The sequence below is a fragment of the Homo sapiens genome, chromosome 12 (genome assembly GCF_000001405.40).
Source record: "Homo sapiens chromosome 12, GRCh38.p14 Primary Assembly".
In the NCBI taxonomy this organism is placed as follows: Eukaryota; Metazoa; Chordata; class Mammalia; order Primates; family Hominidae; genus Homo; species Homo sapiens.
Window position 1 is genome coordinate 118976935 of NC_000012.12, and position 20024 is coordinate 118996958.

General features: G+C 45.3%; 1 protein-coding gene and 1 pseudogene across 1 annotated transcript in view, besides 1 other annotated feature; both read left to right on the forward strand.

Annotated features, from left to right (window-relative positions):
* The first annotated feature begins 4606 nt into the window (after positions 1-4606).
* The window catches only part of SRRM4 (serine/arginine repetitive matrix 4), a 181511-nt gene continuing 166093 nt past the window's right edge, over positions 4607-20024 (forward strand). The window contains exon 1 of the mRNA NM_194286.4: positions 4607-5079. Within this exon, the coding sequence (NP_919262.2) occupies positions 4949-5079 (131 nt within the window). The 5' untranslated portion in view covers positions 4607-4948. The remainder of the gene's footprint in view (positions 5080-20024) is intronic.
* Positions 8983-9509: an enhancer, noted in NCBI's record as "OCT4-NANOG hESC enhancer chr12:119423722-119424248 (GRCh37/hg19 assembly coordinates)". NCBI's record gives its function as "activates a minimal SCP1, AML or CMV promoter by ChIP-STARR-seq in primed H9 embryonic stem cells {active_cell/tissue: H9 hESC(primed)}" and the evidence as "EXISTENCE:reporter gene assay evidence [ECO:0000049][PMID:30033119]".
* On the forward strand, positions 16923-17225 carry RN7SL508P (RNA, 7SL, cytoplasmic 508, pseudogene; annotated as a pseudogene).

Sequence of the window (20024 nt, forward strand, 5' to 3'; positions counted from 1 at the left end):
ACCCAAGGTAACATGGTAATGTTAGTGAGGTGGGATTTGAACTGCCTCAGGAGAAGGGGTAGCTATTTCTCTGAGCTGGAGGTGCTGTATCTTTGGATCACTAAGGAGAAGGTTGCATAAGAATCTTCTTAGCTCCTGCTCTAGAGTGCCTGGGTTTGCAAAGTTTAGAATCATTTCTCCCTGCTGTCCCTTTTTTCAAATGAAAGAACAATACCAATCAGGTAAAGAAACATTCTCTAGACATGGATGGCAAATTGATTTTATCTGGAATGCCAAGACCAAACTATTAGTAGTGGCTATCTAGAAACTGTGTGTTAAGAAGGATTCTGAGGGTCGGTCTGAGAAAGAGTATTGTGAAGGATCAGTGATGTCTACCATCAGTATAGCACAGAGGGCAAGGAATAATTGTGCCATAAGTTTATATTCATTAACCAGCATATTAATAGGTCCTTGTTTATGGGGTGGGCTGGCTTGCATCTGGGGAAACAGAAAGCAATACCCGGAAGGAATGAGGCACAAGATGGTTCTATTTTAATAAAGTGATGGAGGAACTGGAGTTCACGTTATATTGGAGAAGCCAGACCTAAAGCAGAAGTCACTGTGATAAGATGAAAAGGGGACAAGTGTTAGTCAGTGGAGACCCAGAAGGAGAATTAGGCTGTGAACTGCTTCAGGGAAGGGACTATGTCTGGTTTGTCTTTGAGTCCTCCGTGCCCAGGACTGTGCCTGGCCAAGATGCAAGATTGGGCATCAGTTAATGATTATTGAACTGAATATGGCCTGACTTAACATAGTAACAGGTGATTATTCCAAGATCATGAGCAAGAAGAGCTACCATTGAATGGTCACTTGCTATAAACTGGACAATTTATTAAGTCCTTTACCAGTAATATTTCATTTAATCTTCCCAACCACGATGTGATATCTCCACTTTTGCAAATGAGGAAACAAAGGCAGAGGTTAGTTATTAGCCCAAGCTCATACAGCTACAAAGTGGCAGAGCTGGGCTTCATATCCTAGTTCTCTCTAAATCCACAGGCTGGGCTTTTAACCACTTGAGTAATTGATATTTTTGAGTAAACTGTGTTTCAGACACATTCTAGAACCTGTATGTGTGTTAATTCCTTCAATCCTCACAGCTAGTTCATCTAAACATATTATTTATAATCTTTATAGAATCTTCATGAAACCCCATCTCTACTAAAAATACAAAAAAAATTAGCTGGGCCGTCGTGGCAGGCGCCTGCAATCCCAGCTACTAGTGAGGCTGAGAAAGGAGAATGGCTTGAACCTGAGAGGCGGAGGTTGCAGTGAGCTGAGATCACACCACTGCATTTCAGCCTGGGCAACAGAGCGAGACTCTGTCTCAAAAAAAAATTCTTCATAGTATTGATAAAGAAACTGTGACATAGGCAAGTGAAATCCCTCCTCCAACATTACACAGCTAGGAAATGGCAGAGCTGGAATTTGAAGCCAGGCATTCTGGATTCCAAGTCCTGAACTGATTACTGCAGACTCCCAATTTAGGAACCTCAACACCAGGTGCTTCTAAGTATGTGACTCATTGTTATCTGATTTATTTTTAAATGGTGGTCCATCCTGATATGCGTAGTATCCCACTCCATCCTCCACCCCACCAAGCAAAAACAGAAACTGTATTTTTCACAAATTTCCTTTGCTTCCTACAGGATCACCCTGGGGAAGTCACTTGGTCATCCTCAACTTCTTCATGTTTAAAACAGAGTAAGATCGAATAGCAGGTCTACGTTTTTTAACTTTTATTTTAAGTTCAGGGGTACAAGCGCAGGTTTGTTACATAGGTAGACTTGTGTCACGGGGGTTCGTCGAACAGATTATTTCATCACCCAGGTATTTAGCCTAGTACCCATTAGTTATTTCTCCTGATCCTCTCCCTCCTCCCAACTTCCACCCTCCAAAAGGCCCCAGTGTGTGTTATTCCCATCTATATGCCCATGTGTTCTCATCATTTAGCTCCCATTTATAAGTGAGAACATGTGGTATCAGGTTTTCTGTTCCTATGTTAGTTTGCTAAGGATAATGACCTCCAGCTCCACTCATGTCCCTGCAAAGGACATGATATTCTTTTCATGGCTGCGTAGTATTCCATGGTGTATATGTACCACAACTTCTTTATCCAGTCTATCACTGATGGGCATTTAGGTTGATTCCATGTCTTTGCTATTGTGAGTAGTGCTGCAGTGAACATACACATGCATGTGTCTTTATAAAAGAATGAGCAGGTCTACTTTTAGTTCTTTGAGAAATCTTCATACTGTTTTCCATAGTTGTTGTACCAATTTACATCCACACCAACAGTGTATAACTGTTCCCTTTTCACTGCATCTACACCATCTATTTTTTTTTTTTACTTTTTAATAATGGCCTTTTGGGGGTAAGGTACTATTCGGGTGACAGGTATGTAAAAGCCCAGACTTCATCACTATACAATTCATCCATGTAACCAAAAAACACTTGCACCCTTAAAGCTATTGAAATAAGATAAATAAATAAAATAGAATAAGATCAGCTTTCTCTCCCACCTCATCTGGCTACGATGGGATTTTAAAAAGGCAATGTTTTGCATATGGGAGCTCTATCAACATTTTAGGGATTAGGAGCAGGCACACAACTGGAAGATGTTGACTGATCTTGTGGGGGTAGGATCCCACCTACCTCTCTCCTGCAAGTGACTCAGTTCATACCCTAAATGTCATGACTAAGGTTAGTTTTAAAGATGCCAGTCTGCTACCTATAAGAAGCCAGCTCTAGATTGCATTTACAATGATACCAACTTCTGGGTGGGAAACGGGGGTCTAGCCCAATCAGGGAATGGGGGATTTGGGGCGCAAGGTAAGAGGGAGAGGAAGGGAAGGGGTTAGCCTAGTCTCCACTTTGCTCCATCTCCAACCTTCCCAGGCCTGACCCCCACCTCTGGGCCCTCTCCCCCGGCAACCCACATAAGAAGCCAGCAAATGCACCTCTCGTTGTTGACCAGAAGGGGTCACTGCAGAGCAAGTAGCGCTCTCAGGCACTCAAATAAGCGGACGCAGGCGTGTCGAACACACACACTTCAAACGTAGATACCCTTTGGGGCGGGTACTCATTTACTCCAAGGTTCTTTCTTCTCCTGCCCCATCTTATCCTCTCTGTTGGCCTCTTCATCTTCACCTCCTAGTTACCTCCTGTTCCCCTTCAGAGAATTTCTGGAGTTCCCATTGTTCTCCCGACCCCCCCGCCCTACCCCGCCCTCATTGGGTCCCCATTGCTATCTGCTTTAGCAAAGAGCAGGAGTTTATTCTCGCTGTGACTGGGACTCAGCACCAGGTGCTTGGAGGCATTTAAGACTGAGCGAGGCCTCCTTCCAGGAATTTACAGCCTGGAAAGTGGAAGCGGGGTTGGGGGGAGGGGGAGGGCGTTAGGTGGGAGATGGGGGAGTAACAACTCTGCTAAGATTAAAAGGCTTCCAGGAAGGCAAGGGCTGAGGGGTCCCGCCACGATCTCTTTTTTTTATAATGAAAACCCTGGGGGAAAACAAGAGTCATTCTAACCAGATCTTCTGTGTCTGGGGTTGATTTGGGATTCTAAACCTCCACTTGCTTGGGATTACGATTGAACTGCGAGGCGGTAAGGAGATGGGGAGGAGAGACCGAAAAGTAACTATCCCCCTGCTAATCCTCGAGATTTTCCTCTCCAACCCTCCCACTAAGCGCTTTCTTTTCCAAAACGTACTCCTTTCCCGAGACTAGCGGCATTAGGAAAAGTGGCTGCAGGCGGATTCCCCAGGAGTGGATGGGGGTGGGGTGGGGTGAGATGGGAACTCTTTCCTCTGGACGGGGTTGGCGGCGGGGACGCTGGGCAGGCCGGCTGTGAGACACAAAAGAGATACCCTTGACAGCTCCGCATGCACAGATGTAACGCTGCGCCCCTTGGCGGGCGGGGGCCCTGCTCGGCAGATGGCGAGAAGCCGAATTGGTGAGGGATTGTCTATCAAATGGCACTTTCTGGGTGGTGGAGACCTCGCTAACCCCCGGCGCAAAGAGGAACGCAGGGCACCCTCTGTACCGGCCTAGGCCGTGTCTCCCAAAAGTGAGGGTCTGGGGGAGGCCGGCTGGGGTGGATAGATTAAGTTTTTTACGAGCCCCCCCAACCCCCCCCCCCCCCCCACGCAGAAGATCAGCTACAAGACTTGCGAAGGGGCTGGAAAGAAAGGTGGCCTGGCCCAAAGGGGGCACCCAGGAAAGGGCTGAGGAAGGCCAGCGATGATGGGAGAGGAGAGGGGCCTGGGAAGCAGGATCTCCTGCCTGGCGCAGATTGGGGTGCCAGGATGGCTTCTCAGAGGGATCAGCGCTGCAACTCGGTCGCCGCGGGGCCCTGGTGACAGGCGCACGCCCCGCCCTTTCTCCTCCCAAGACCTGCGGGCTTTTGTTATGCAGATGGCGGCAGGAGGCTGAGCCTGAGGAGGAGGGGGTTGGTGGGGAGGAGGAGAGACGGAGAGGGGGGAGGAAAGTGCAGCTCGCGCGACCAGCCTCCTCTTCCAACGTCACATTGTGCGAGAGACAAAACCCGGGCGCGCCGGAGCTCACACGCGCACGCACACACATCCGACCCCGTCGCCTCTTCTCTCCTGGTGCTGCCCAGAAAGCCAGCCCTCCCTTCCCTTCTTGGGGCGCAGAGGCTCAGCCAGCTCAGAGCGCAGCCTGGAGCCGACCCAGAAGGGCGAAGAAAGCCCAGCGGACGAGCCTCCTTTCTCTGCTGCCTGCCCGGGCTGGGGCGTCCCATCCCCCGCCCTGAACTCCGATCTCTCCCACCCCACCCCTCTCTGGGTTTCACCCGGACAGAGCCGGGAGCTGGGTGTCGCCCCCGTTTGGAATCCACGTTTCAGCACTTTGGACAGCGCCCCGGACGCCCCGGCCCCTTTGGGTTGGCGATGGCGAGCGTTCAGCAAGGCGAGAAGCAGCTTTTTGAGAAGTTCTGGCGAGGAACCTTCAAAGCGGTGGCCACCCCCCGTCCCGAGAGCATCATTGTCGCCAGTATCACGGCCCGCAAGCCGCTGCCAAGGTAATGATCTCCTTCTTAGAAGGGGGGATCCTGAAGGTCCTCCTTTCTGGCCTGTGCCCCAGAGCCCGGAGGGGTGGATGCAGGCAGCCGGGCCAGGGCGCCTGTCTTTTCCCGTCACTACTCGGCGGCTCCCGCTGAAACATGGGAACTCATTGCTTGTGTGAGGTGGAAGATGGTGAGAAGGGACAGGAATTCTTTGGGGGAAAGCAACGCTTATTGGACCCCCGTAGCTCCTATTCAAGAGGTTTTGCTACCTGAGGGTGGGCGGTGCAGATGGGGTACGACTTGACTGAAAAACTTTTCTTGGTGTCACAGAGTCCAGAGGGCAGGTGGGCCAAGGAATGGTGGATTTGAGATGTTTGGGGGGTGTTGTACCAGAAAAGGAGAACTGAGCCAGCTCAAGCAGCGTTCAGAGATAGCACACATTTCCATCCTCGGCTCGGAAACTAGCGAGCTTTGAACATTTTTGACAAAAGCCCATATGCTGTTCCCTCAAATACACCCAAAACAGCACCCTCCTCCACGCCTTTCTGGCGGCTGCTGCCGCTGCTGCTGAATTCTCTCCTCTCCAGCATCCAAAACCAAGACTCTGAGCTCAGGAGTCAGGGAGGAGCCTTCCAAGATCGTGAAGATGATCTTGGAAGAGTTTTATTTTGTTTTTTTTTGTTTTTTTTTTTTTTTTCCAAAAAGAATCTGATTGCTTTGAACTCAGGGATGAGAACCGATCCTTGGATGGTGGTAGACATGGTGCTGATGGAAGGAAGAATAAGGGAAGAAATGAAAGAAACAGGGGAACAGGAGGTGGGGTGAGAGGGAGAGGAGGTTGGGGGAAAATGGAAGCATTCCAAGACAGAGAAAAATCCAATTCTTTTCATAAATCATTCAATTTAGAGGAGTTTAAGAATGAAGGGAAGAAGGCTGTGCTCTCTGTCAGGGAAAATCAAGGTAGTATGAAAACTCATCTTTTGCTGGTGTTGGATGAGTGGTTTAGTAGGAGAAAAGAAAGAAGTGGACCAGGGGGACCACTTGGAGGATTTATTAATCCTGGCAGTCTGCATTAGGGAGCAGATTGAAAACATGTCTGCAAAAGTGCTTAGGACAGACTGAACGTCTGTTCTGGCACAACTGATTCTGAACTTTCCAGTGAGTGTGAGGTGGAAGACGTATGGGAAATTATGTCTGAAGAATCAAAGCCAGATTGGAGAAGTTTTCCTCTTCACTGTCTTATTGAGGATCATACAGGTCTTTAGAGAAATAGGTGTCCCATTTAGGAATGGGTGGCCAAGCATCACAACAGGCCAGTAGGGTGTAGCAGGCTTCAAGCTAAAGCAGCACCAGCCAGTGTTTGCAGACGGGAAGGAGGGGACACCCACCCACCCACTGACACAGGCTGGAGAAGGGGAACAATAATACCAAATGCCATTAAAGGCTGATGCTTCTCTGCTCCGAAGGAGGTTCTGTGTATAGAGTTTTGACGTCAGTGGTTTTTATCTTCCTGGGTTTCTGCTATCTATTCCACCTTTGGAACGTACCTACTGTTGGCTAATCAGGTGCTGCACTGGCCAAAGAAAATGCCCTTGTAGAAGGAACTAGAGGAAATTTCACAGGAAACTAGAAGTATGGCATTTAGTCCAGAGTCTTCCATCTATTTTAGGGGTGCAGGGAGAGGAAAGCGGATTCTTGGTGGTGTTTTGATTCAGGAAAGCACACCTATTATCTGCCTTGCTTGGTACTTTCCACTTTTGTCTGTCTCTCTGTTACTGTCCTGCCCTTTTCTTGGTCATATTTGCAATCACATGAATGGCCCACAAGGTCTTTCAACCCTCATCCTTTCTGCAGCTTTTTGCTAATTCTAATGTAATCCTGAGACTTTTATAATACTCCACTCCCCCTCTGCAACCAGTATCATTTCACTCTTGGTGCCTTTTAATGTCGTGGGTCTCCTTTGCCCTAGAAACCACCCCTGAGGTGAAAGCCTGAACCATAAGCCCTGGATTTATGTCACGCTAGGAGAATCCTGTGTAATACTTCTGTAATAGGCGTGGCCTCTCTGTAGAACAGATTCCGGTTTTATAACTGTTACTCCTGGTTTGGGGTAGAGAGTGAGAAGGGAACATTTGTTTCCAAGTCCTCAGGAAAGGTTGGATTGGAGTTGTCTTTTAACAGACTGGATAAAACCTGAATCATCCCCATTCTCACCCAAGCCAGCCACATCCAGTGACATTCAATTTCCACTTCCTTTTCAACATTCTACACTTACTTAAGGGTGAAAGTACCATGTTTCCAAAGCTGAGTTCTCAAGAGGAAAGAAGACAGAGGCATTGGCACAATATCAGCTGGGTTTGGGTGGCTTCCTCTAGAGGCAATCTGGGGACTTGGTCTCATCAGAAATGTCGTTTAGTTCCATGAGTCAAGCCCAGATCACAGTCGGCAAACCAGCACATGTAGCAGTCTGCAGGGGGATGGCAGGGAGTGGGTGGAGGAACCACTAGTCAGTCCTGTTGGTGTCACACTTAATATTTGTTTATAGATGAAGGCCACCCCTCTGAATAAACTTCCTCAGGATATTTTAAGTCTATCTCTCAAGGTAATTTAGTACCAGGATAGAAACATATATTCAATTCATTGATTTCATAGCAATATGCATACATCATGCAACTGCAATCTAAGCAACCCCCTGCTTAGTCTCTCTTTCTCCTCTACCCCTCTGTGGGGCATACTTGATGAGGCAATAGCTTTATAATGTATCAAATTGCAACCAGATGTCTGCCTCAAATGTCAGAACAGTAGAGCAGAGTGGGAAGCAGTATATCATAGTGGTTAAGAGCTCAGACTTGAGCATGAGACAACCTGGATTCCTGTCCTGGTTCTATCATTTACTAGCTGTGTATCCTGAACAAATAGTTTTACCACACTGAGCTTGAAAATAGAAATAATAACAGTAACCCCTCAGACAACAGGTTGTAAGGATTTAGTTAGGTAAAGCTCTACCCCTATGTGTGGTGCATGGTGTTGTTTAGTAGACATTGACTCTGGAACAAAGCTTATAGTGGCCAAAAGGAAAGCAACAACTCCTCATCATTGTGTTCTCCATGCCTACCCATTTCTCCCCCAAGTAATGCTGACCATTTTTATTGGGATTTCAACTCCTGATGGACAACTACATTCAGATGAAGTTAACACACATGAGGCAGGGTAGAGAGTGGTCCCATAATCCTCGTCTCTGAGAAGAGGCTAACTGCTTTCTGATCTGACTGTTTCAGTTAGGGGGTTGGGGATAATAAATAATTATCTGGATTCAGAATTGATTGGTATAACATTTCCATGGAGCATTCTGTTGGTTTGTATAGAGAAGACCAGGTACTGTCAGTCTAAAGAAAGCTCAAACTTCTTGAAAAATCACAATTTTAATCCCACGGTTTCATCAAATCTACAGTGACTATGTGATTTATAGTTTATATCAAAATGTCTTTAAAAATGAAAGAAGGTGTCATTAGTAATTACCTAGGATGGAAGATCTAACAGAGATCATCCCAGGCAAACCAGGATGTACAGTGGTCCTTGTCAAACTTTATCTACCAGCCGGAAGGGAACCAGCATGAATCGATAAGATATATGAATCTCTAAAGTGTAGAGAGCCACCTCCCTTTTATCCCCATCCAAGAAGGGTAGTCATTTTGCCTGGCATTAACTTAATTCTCTTTTTTAATTGCTTAGCCTAGAGAAGTTTGTACCTAAGAAGTTTCAGCTCGGTGAAAACCTAGTGCTTAAGGCTAGATCAAGCCACAATATGATTTCATATCACCATATCGACCAATAGTAGCAGCTAAAGGCTTAATGAACATGTAAAAATCATTTGAAATTTGCATATCAATTGTTTATGGATGCATGAGTGTTAGTAAAGGGCTAGAAAAGATATCCCCTTAAGTAGAACACACATTTTCCTTACAATTCTTTTAGCAAGCTATTAATTTTCTTCAAAAATCCTTTCTACGCAGAATAGACCAGAAGTAGACTTCAGCCCAGGCCCTGTCCAAAAGGCCATAAATTCCAAACTATTGGAGATTTTACTGCATAAAGGGAAATTGTAAGGCAGAAAAAAAAATGCCTTTGAACCATTTAATTCAAGACTCCCCTCGGTGCCAAGAGATCAGTTAGCAGTTTGTGCTGACTTGATCATCAGGAGCCAGGTGAGGGGCTGTTGAGAGGCGATTTTCTGGCAGCAGCCTGTGGTTAAGAGCCAATGCGCTGAGGGTCACAGAAAATGCTTGCCCTGGCGGTGAATGAGCGTTTTTCTCTAGGAAGGGAGCGTTATTGTGTGGGTCAAACCTTTCTCCTTTTGAAAGGTGAAATTTGTTGAATGGGATACAGGGGTTGGTTGCAGGGGGTCATTTCTGACATTCTGCTGTGTTCACCCGGCACACGTGCTATCTTAGAGAACGAGGTTGTGGTAGATGTTCAGTGAATGTTGGATGCATTAATTAGATGAATGTGCATGGTTCAAACCCAGCAACAGATTAGCTCTCTCCCCACCCCACCTCCAGTTCTGAGACGCTGAGGCTTCTGATCAATGCAACTTGAAAGACGCACACACTGCAAATAGACTTGACTCTCCCTGGTGTCAGAATGAAGTTCCCTAGATAGAGACATCTGTCTGTCTGGGCAAGTAGACATGTTAGCCAGTATGGGGGCAGGAGGTTGGACTAAATGCCACTTGGATGTGCTTTCTAGGCCTGTAAGTCTCCATTACCTCCACCACTGCTCCAGGCCACCAAAAAAAGGGAACATCCCTAAAACCCTAACTCCTTTAATAGGGAAGGAAGCCTGGGTCACATGCCTTCTTCTCCATGAACTCTTCAGGCATGCTGCAGAAGAGCAATACATTAAAAAAAAAATCTGTTTTTTTTATTTTTTATTTTTCAGAGTGGCTGGATTTACCTTCCCGTGAAGTGGAAGAATTCACAGGGGCTTAGCAAAACTAGAGCTCTTTAATTGCTTGTTCCTAAGACTTTCGCTGAAGTGTGAGAGAATATTTCTGAGGTGGAGGAAGTAGAATGATGAAGAGTTTGAGCTCTGAAGTCAAATCTATCCAGGCTCAAATCTTTCTTTGCTACGTGCAAGCTGCAGGACCCGCTAGTCACTTCACCTCTTTGTGCCTCAGCCTCCCCATCTGTGAAATACTCCTCTGTTGGGGTTGTAGTGAGGAGTGAATGAGATAATTTATATAAAGAGCATGGCACTGTGCCTGGTACAAACCCAGATCTCCATAAAGCAGATGCTCTTGTGTACTATGCCAGGGGCTACCCAACGAGATGCAGAGAGGGGGGATGCTAAAGCCCCTTACTACCTGGGCTGCGCTTGTTCAGTAGTGATGCTTGGGTTCTGTGGACTGGACTCCTGAGCAGCTCCAATGCTCTGTATTCACTTTTAAATGTGGCTTTGGTGCTCCCTAAAGAGCCACTGGAGATTGGTAGAGCTGTTTGAAACATTTGATGGACCTCAGGGGCACACTAATCAAAGGAAGTGTTTTATTTTATTGGTTGCAAATGCTTACGGGCTATGAGACTTGGCAAGCAGCTTGACCTTCTCAATCTCAGTTTTCTCATCCATAAAATGGGGCTAATAATAGCAGCTCCCTCCAAGAGCTGCTGTGAGGACTGGATGAGCTAATTTATGGAAAGTGCTACTTGGCACCCAGTCAGAGCTCCATCAGTGTTGGCTCTTGCTATTAATAATAAATGATAGGTTTTTTCGTTACTATTTGCCAGGCCCATTGGGGAGAAAAAAGTTGAATGTCCTCTAGTGAGGGCCTCAGAGTTTAGTAGAAAAGGTAGACACAACATAAGTACATATTTCATAAGGGAGACAGTCTTTTTAATTTTTAAAATTTGTTTTCACATAATAACTGTACATATTTGGGGGATACATAGTGGTGTTGTGATACATATAATGTACAGTGATCAGATCAGTGTAATTAACATATCCATCATCTTAAACATTTATAATTTCTTTTATTAGAAACATTCAGTATTTTTCTTCTAGCTATTTGAAACTGTAAAACATATTATTGTCTTAAGCATGATAATGTAGGGAGAAATAGAGACAGAGGAATGTAAAAAAAAAACAGCGAAGGGAGAGACCCTTAATGAAGCATGGAGTCCCTTGCTTATAGTCACACAGTTATTTTTAGTTATCCGATCTGCAAAATGGGGATGATTCTTCTATTTCATCAACGTTATCTACAAATACAAGGAATGATCAGAGAAAATCAGACCTTTGCCCCCAGCAGGGTCTCAAATACCATTTCTTTTAATAGGAGAGAAAGCAGGCTAAACTCTCTGAGGGGAACATTAACTGTGGGGGAATAGTCAACGCTAGTGGAGGGGAGCCGTGGAAGGGAGCTGCTCATATAATATACATTTTCCAGCTCAAGGATGCAGTCTCTGGCGTGGGCTATTAGGCTTCTTGTCCTTCATGGACCAGCTCTAGCTAATAGGAAATCTAGTCTGCATTCCATGAACAACCACCAGTGATGGGGGGATTATAGCGAGCCTGCAAATGTGGAAGATAAAATTAATCACAGGGGAATTAATACACAAAGTGGAAGAAGCTGCACGTTGGCTAAAAAAAAATTAGGTTGTACTTTCATTCATTTATTCAGTCATTCAACATTTTTATTGAACCACTACTCAACGTAACAGTGAATGAACACAGGAACTCCCTGTTCCCGTGGAGGAGAAAGACAATAAATGAAGAACCAAATAAATAAATGAGAGCTGGTGGTAATGCATTCTGTAAAGAACAATAAAGCCAAGGAAAGGAATAGAGGGTGAGGGAATGAGCTGCTTTGTTGGACAGCATGATCCCTGAGTGAAGGGAGAGGTGAGCTGTGAGGATAAGTGAGAGAAAAGTGTTTGAGGCAGAGGGAACAGCAAGTGCAAAGGCCCTGAGGTAGAAGGATGCTTGGTGTATTTGAGAAATAGCAAGGAGGTCAGTGTGGCTAGAGCAGAGTGAGTGAATGGGAGAGTGACAGAAGATGATTCCCAGGATGCAGGCAGAAAACAGATCAAGTGGGGCCTTGTAAGCCAGTTCAGGAAATTCCTAGGTCCTGGGCTGGGGGCAGGAGGTGGTCCCAGGAGGGTTCTTGCCTTCTCAAGCAGAGTTCCAGATCTGATCTGCTTCTGTTTGACTCCTCTTTCCTGACTCTGATGCAGCCAGTGATGACTTTGAACAGCAATATCAGAAGATTGGCTGGGTCCCTCCATGTGTTATGGACAAGCATGAAATTTACAGTCCCTTTGATTGTGAACAATCACATCAGGAAACTTTAAAGATGCTGTTTAGACTTCCAAATAGCAGTGATAGATTTTGTTCCCACGGTGCAAGGGTTTGGTCTCTCATATTCATGCATGCAAACCTAGACTATCCCTTGCACCCAGTAGCCCCCTCCACTGCACACTCTTGAAGCTACAGTCTGCTCTTTCTGTCTCTCTCCCTCTGTGTATCTCTCCCGGCACCTGTCCCCCCACACCTTCCAGCCCCCCACTCCATTTGAAATTTTGCTGAGGGAGCTCCCATATGCTACAGCCTCTGTGCGGAGCTCTGTGAAATAGAACACTGAATTAAGATGTCATAGAGACAAAGCCAAACCAAATACAGGAACAATGCCGAACCCTAAAACAGTCATTAAGTAATTCATGTCTACGTGTGTCTGTTCAAAACAAATATTAAGATCCTCTGGACGCAAATCTTTCTCATCCGGAGAATCCTCTGGTTGCTGGATTCCCAAAGCTTAGATGCCGCTGTCGGACAGCTTTGCTGAGTACAAATACCAACAGATCACTGTTCTCTGGCTTCGTTAAAAGTTAAGCTTAGGCAACTGAGCAGGAATTTAGAAGACAGTTGCCACTTCTGCAGAAAGAGAGGTGCCATTTGGGCCTGAAGCGTGCATCTTCATGGTGTGTGTGCACGCTCACTTGTGGTGGGAATGTGTGTGCTAAGAGCCTTGTGTTACTATGTGCCTTGCCCTGTGCTGAACACATTTCATCTCTTATCCAGTTCTGTACTTATAATAATTCCAGAAGAGAGGTGTCTTCAAGACCCTATTTTACAGATGAGAAAACAGAGGCTCTGAGAATAGAAATGATCTGCTCACAGACACATGGCTGGTAAGAGTCAGAATTGGAATGAGAACCCAGAGCTCTTAACCAACATGTTTATAGGATAAGACACTTTGCAGAGGAGGAAAAAATGGTATCACAGAGGGGAGGTAAGCCCTGGGAATCCAGCAACCAGGGGAGTCTCTAGATGAGAAACCTTTGCGTCCGGAGGTTCTTACTATTTGTTTTGAACAGACACACGTAGATGTGAATTGCTTAATGACTGTTTCAGGGTTCGGCATTGTCCTATTTGGTTCGGCTTTGTCTCTATGTCATCTTAATTCAGTGTGCCCATGATCACACGGTGTGTAAGTGATGAAAGCAGGAGATGAATTCAGGTCTGTCTGATTGCTAGTATATTCTTCTCTCCTGGCTGGACTTCCTGTCATTCTGGTTTGGGTTTTAAGGTTGGGGGTGTTTTTGTTTTGTTTTGCTCATCTTGTTTTATGTTCAATCAGTTTAGTAACTGCCATTGTTATAATCCCATCTCATACCACTTGCAGCAATACTGCTTTCCTCTTTCCTTGCCCCTCTTATCCATTATCCACATAGACCCAGAAGAACCTCTTTGAAAAGCACATCAGACCATGTAAGCCCTCTCTCCCTCCATCTAAAGCCCTCTATCACTTTCTCTTGTTTGTGTTTTTTTGGTTTGTTTTTGTTTTGAGATGGAGTCTCGCTCTGTCACCCAGGCTGGAGTGCAGTGGTGCGAACTCAGCTCACTGCAACCTCTGCCTCCCAGGCTCAAGGAATTCTCCTGCCTAAGCCTCCCAAGTACCCACCCCGCACCCAGCTAATTTTTGTATTTTTTTAGTAGAGACAGGGTTTCACCATTTTGGCCAGGCTGGTCTTGAACTCCTGACCTCAGGTGATCCACCCTCCTCGGCCTTCCAAAGTACTGGGATTACAGGTGTGAGCCACCATGCCTGGACCCATGTTTTTTTAAGTATACAGAGCCAGCTCCCTGCCATGGCCTCTAGCCTCTTCATGGTCCACTTCCTGCCCACCTCCCTGAGACCATTTCTAAAACACCACCTCTCACTTCCTCTGTTTAGTTGCATCTTATTCCTTTTAGTTACTCACATTTTCCAGGCTCCTTCCTGCCATGGAGCCTTTGCACATGCTGCTAGGAAAGCTCTTCCTCTCCCCTGGTGCCTGATTTATACCTACTCCACTTTCCAGAGCTCAGAGGAAATGCTGTTTCCTCGGGGATCCTTCCAGAATGCTGCAGACTAAGTCATACCCCTCATTACAGACATTACTTTCTTATCACTGTTTTCAACACATTTGTAATTATATATGGATTTGGGCGATCATTGGCTAAAGCATACCTCTCCTAACGGTTGAGGCCTCATGAGGAGAGGGACTGTGACTATGAGCTCCTTGTTGAACGAATCTCTTCCCCCAGATACGCAGCAGGGACCAAACACATGTTGGTAGAATGCATGAACTGTAGCACTTTCCCCTCATCGAATCACTTTCACACCTAATAGTCTGAACCATATGGAATTGCCAATATTCAAAACCAGTAATGTTATTTCCTCTGATTCATAGGAGAATTGTTTGAACCACTGGGGATGGGGACTATGCCTGTCTCATTCTTTGCGGTATCCCAGCACCTAGTACAGTGGCTCAAGGTTGGTCATCTTTAAATATTTGTTGAATAAATTGTTAATGAGGACAATACAACCATAAGCACACTGTACAGATGAGAAAACTCAGAGATCTACAGAGGTGTAGTATTAGATAGAGCTAACAGGACCTTAGGGATCACCCGATCTCATTTTACACGTGGAGGGCTGAGGGATAGGTTTGATAACGTGCTTAACATATTGGAACCATAGTGCGCATGTGTAATTTGTAAATAAATACACATATATTGGGGTTTTGTTCTCAGCATTTCTCACTGAGAGAGATATGAGATAAAAGAAACTTTGGGGTCCATTGATCTAATTCAGCTCCTCTTTTAGCAGAAAGAGACACTGAAGCCTGCAAAAAGAGAGAGATTTGCCTAAGGTCTGTAGTCTGCAGGTGAGCTCTGGGTTCAGAGAAGTGATGTTTGCCCAACGTCAGGGCTCTTGTTTGAACTTCTCTGCTGCAACCAGGTGAGCAGACACCAGTTCTCTCTGGTGACCCCACCCACGCTGTGAGACATGACATCCCGCCCCCTCAGGGTCTCCTGTGGCACCTGCTGCCCACCCACTCGTCTGGGTATCCTGACAAGATGTCCATCCGCACCCAGCCTGTGCCTAGCAGAGCAGGTGAGCAGCTCTGGGTGTTTCTGGAATCAGATTTCAGAACTTCCAGCTGATAAAGGGCTTTTGTTTGGCCAGTGTTTTGCCCCAGCCTCCTGTCCACAGCCAGGTGGCAGGTGATTCTGGGACCCAACCCACATCCGGAAGGGGCAGGTATCTGAGCAGTGGTGCAGGATTTATCATATGGATGGTTGTTTGCTGCAGGAACGAGAGGCCATCATCATTATAGCACCTTTCAATGGTCAGTTCTTTATAAATCCTCATTGCCTCACTGGGGCACTTAGTCTACTGTCAGGATGAGAGGGCAGCCAGGGGGACCTTCAGAACTCAAATATAGCCTCTTCATTTGATAGATGGGGAGACTGAGGCACAGAAAGAGCACAGGGCATTCCATATTGCATCAGAAAATTAGTGCCAAAGCTGTAGCTAAAATATGGGCTGCTTGGCACCCAGTCCCAAGACACCACACTGCTCAGAATTCCTTGGGGGAAGAAGACAGAAAAATCAATGTATTCACATTTTACAAACGGACTAATGAAGCTAAGAGATGTGAAATGATTTTCCTAAAGTCACATCATGAAATAATGATATATCATTACTATCGTCACTGTTAAACTGTTACTATTGATCTTGTTTGATCCTCACTACAGTAAGTACCAGTGTTATATCCATTTTAAAGATGAAGAAACTGAGGCTCGAGGTCTTATAAAGACCTGGAATAAGCTCCAGATCTCTTGACTCCAAGTTTAATGCCCTCATGCCACTGTGGGGAAAGATTTCTGACCCCAAAGAGGTTGTTCACTGAGCAGGGATCACCAGGCAAGGGTGGGAATGGTGTGACCGTCTTTAATCACTGACCCAGGCTGCACTGCCTAAGCATTCCCATTCAATTCCTCTCATTCTGTTCACCCACAGAGTGTGCCAGCATCATGCCTTCTTCAACTGCTCTGTATATACTGTATCTTTTTCCTGCATGGAGAGTCTCTTAGAATGACATTCCTCTTAATGGCCTTGGGGGCATGGAGGGATTGGAGTGGGCCCCCAAAATTGAAAGGGGAACCCAGATATCAATAGCCTTAGGAAGAAACACCATGTACCCAATTATGGCAGGGACCAGACTGAAGGGGAACAGGCCCCAAACTGCAGTGGGAAGAGTGCATGTGGGTCATGAAACCTTCTTTCCATGGTGGGTCCTGGTTATAAATGGCCCCCAAAGAAAAGACACCTTGACAACCAGAAGAAGTAGGGGTGGCCTCAAGATTGCTGTAGCCCAACCCTCCCTAACTCTTCATTTTACAGAAGGAATCTGGCACAGAGTAGTCAAGTCACTTGCCTAAAGTCTCACAAGCAATCAATGCCATTGACAATGGGTTCATTGTAGGGCACTTGTGGGCTTTTGGAAAGAGAAAAACTAACATGATTGCTTTCTGCTGGGTGCTATAACACATGCCTGCAGCCCCAGCTACTCAAGAGGTTGATGCAGGAAGATCCATCCCTTAAGCCCAGGAGTTCTGGGCGGAAGTGCGCTATGCCAATGGGTTGTCTGCACTAAGTTGGGCATCAATATGGTGACCTCCCAGGAGCTGGGAACCACCAGGTTGCCTAAGGGATGGTAAACCGGCCTAGGTCAGAAGCAGAACAGATCTAAACTCCCATGCTGATCAGTAGTGGGATCGCGCCTGTGAATACCTACTGCATTCCAGCCTGGGCAACATAGAAAGACCCCAACTCTAAAAAAATTAGTAAAAATAAATAAAAAATAAAAATGATTGCTTTCCACTCACCACTCCTATCCACACCCCAGAACACTGGCTGTTCCACCTTGGCTCTATAGCATTTATGTCCTATTAACAAGCCAACTCTCAAACTGTCCCCACGTAGTGGTGTGAATTCAGGAGCTAGAGGCTATGGTCTAAGTGCTCCTAGATGCTTTTAATGTTTTCCAGGAAAGCTCAGGCTGAGGCTTCCACCACAGAGACTCCCGGCTTGCAACTTGGGCAAGATGCCATTTCAGCCACCCTGATGTTTACTACCCCTACTCTAGTTCTTAAAAGCCTTTTGCCTTTCCTCTCACTGGAAAATAGCGTGCTCTGCATTCCCACCCCTCCAATCCTCCAACCTAAGGAAAGCATCAACTCCCAGTCACCAAGCAAATGTCAGTTCTGACGCATGCCAAGGAAGGGGTGTTGTATAGTTAGAAGACTTCTGGCTTTGCAGTTAATGTGCTTGGGCTTGAATTCTACTCCACCACCTAGTAGCTGTGCGACCTTCAGCAAATCCCTTCACTACCCTGAGCCTCAGTGCCCTCATCTGTAATATGGGGCCAAAAATCCTTAACTCGAGTGGTTGCTGATTCCTGGTATGACTGAGTATTTGCAATGGTTGCCTTTGGCCATTCCGGCTTATGTTCAAAAGCGAGTCAGTTTGATGGTGGTGGTGGAGTGAGAAAAGACACTGGGATTATACCCCTGATCAAGAATGCTAAACCTCACAGTTCATGGGTTCCATTCTCTATTATGCAGATGGAGAAAGTAAGCCTCAGAGAGGGAAAGGCATTTACCCAAAGTCATACAGTGAATGGGAATCCAGGTCTCCTTACCCCTAGAGTTCACTTCTCTGCCTCAGTGACCTCATAAATGTCAATTTTAAAACTTCTTCATCTGTCAAAAGGTTTAATAATAGTTACTAATAATAGTTTTTGACTACTTACTATACACCCAGCACTGAGAAAAGTGCTTTATCTGCAATATGTCACTTAATCTGCTCAACTGCTTTTTGAGGTAGATACTGTGACAATTTCCATTCTGTAGATGAGAAAATTAAGGATCAGAGAGGTAAGTGATTTGTCTAACTTACACAGCTAGGTAATGTCAGAGCCAGAATTTGAATCCTGTGCTGCTAACTCTCACTAACTCTTATTGGGAACACCTGTTCTGCCAATCTCCTGAGATAAGGAAAGATGAGAAAACTTAGGAGCACCATATGGAAACTAGGAAGTTCTTGACAAGCTGTTTACATCTTCCAATATGTGGCTCCATTCTGCTCCATCCCAGTGCCACAGTGGTGCATCAGAGAGAATGTGGCTCAGGATATCTGTCCACCTGCACTGCCCCATAGTTCTATTTTGGGACTTGCCAATTTGATGCTACATTAATGTAGAATGCTTTCCGGAAACAAGTTTCCCTAGGAATGAGAAACAGACAAGGAGAATAAGTCTTTCTTGAGTGAGAAATTTGGGACTTCTAACTGCAACGCTTACCCCAAGCTGACCCAGTTAGGTGCAGCCATTATGCAATCATGGTTATTCTTCAGATGCACAATACTTTATGCTTGCTGAGAACTTGATTCATGCATCTACCCATCCACCCATCCGTTTATCATGCATTTACTCATCATCTATTCCTGCATCCATTTATTTATCCACCACCACCTATTCATCCATCCATCCACCCTTTATCCACCTGTCAGTCAAGCAACAATTGATGCATTTATTATTTCATTCACCCATCCATCTATTTTCCAGCAGTTTCTCTATTCATCCATTCTACAACTATTTTCTTTTTTCTTTTCCCATTGATCTACCTGTCCATCTACCCATCCATCCACCTTTGCATCTAACCAACATTTATGCAGCATCTAATTTGTGCCTTTCTTCACCATTTCCCCACATTTATGGTAAAGTGAGATTTATTTATTTCATTCAACTGACAGTGGGAACTAACTACCAGCTCAAATTATTTTTTTCAAGACCACACAGGAATAAAGTTAAACCTGATCTTCCAGTCCTAGTTCTCTCCAAAACACCTGTAAAACATTGTGGGTCCAAAGAATCACAGGCATCTTGGGTTTGTTTTTCTTCTCTGAGGTCTTTTGCTGTGCATATTTAAATAATCATGCATATTCATTTATATCAGAAACAAAGGATCACAACAAATGCTATGACCCTTTTTCACTTGTGCAAAAAGATTTCACATATGCAAAAAACAAAAAATAAAATTTTCTCTATTCTCAAGTTGCTTACATTTTAGTATAGGAGACATGTTTATGAATAACTAGTGACTAGAAAGCAGGGCAGGAGTTAATAGTATCAAAAAGAAAATTAAGGCCAAGGCAGGTAAAGTGACTTGCCCAAGGTCATGCAAGTTAATACAAATGCTGTGTAATTACTTTGATTCCTAAACGAAGCTCTGTGTTAGGCAATTTATAGACAGATTTCACTGAATTCTCACCTCAACTCTGTGTAATAGGTATCATTGTCTCCATTTTATGGATGGTAGATGTGAGACTCAGAGAGTCTAAGCAACTTGGTCAAGGTTATCACTTGGTAAGGGCCAGAGTTAGTCCAGGCATGCTTGCTTCCACAGTTTTCTCTTTCATAAAACTTTTCCCAGAGTCAAGGTATGGAGCAAAAAATGTCACTTGTGAGGTCCAACTGTTTTCCTGCTTCTCAGTTTCTAGGTGATTACTTCAGTGGAAGTCCATTCCAAGACTAGGTTCAGATAGAGGAGGAAGGTTCTGCACAGAGATGAGG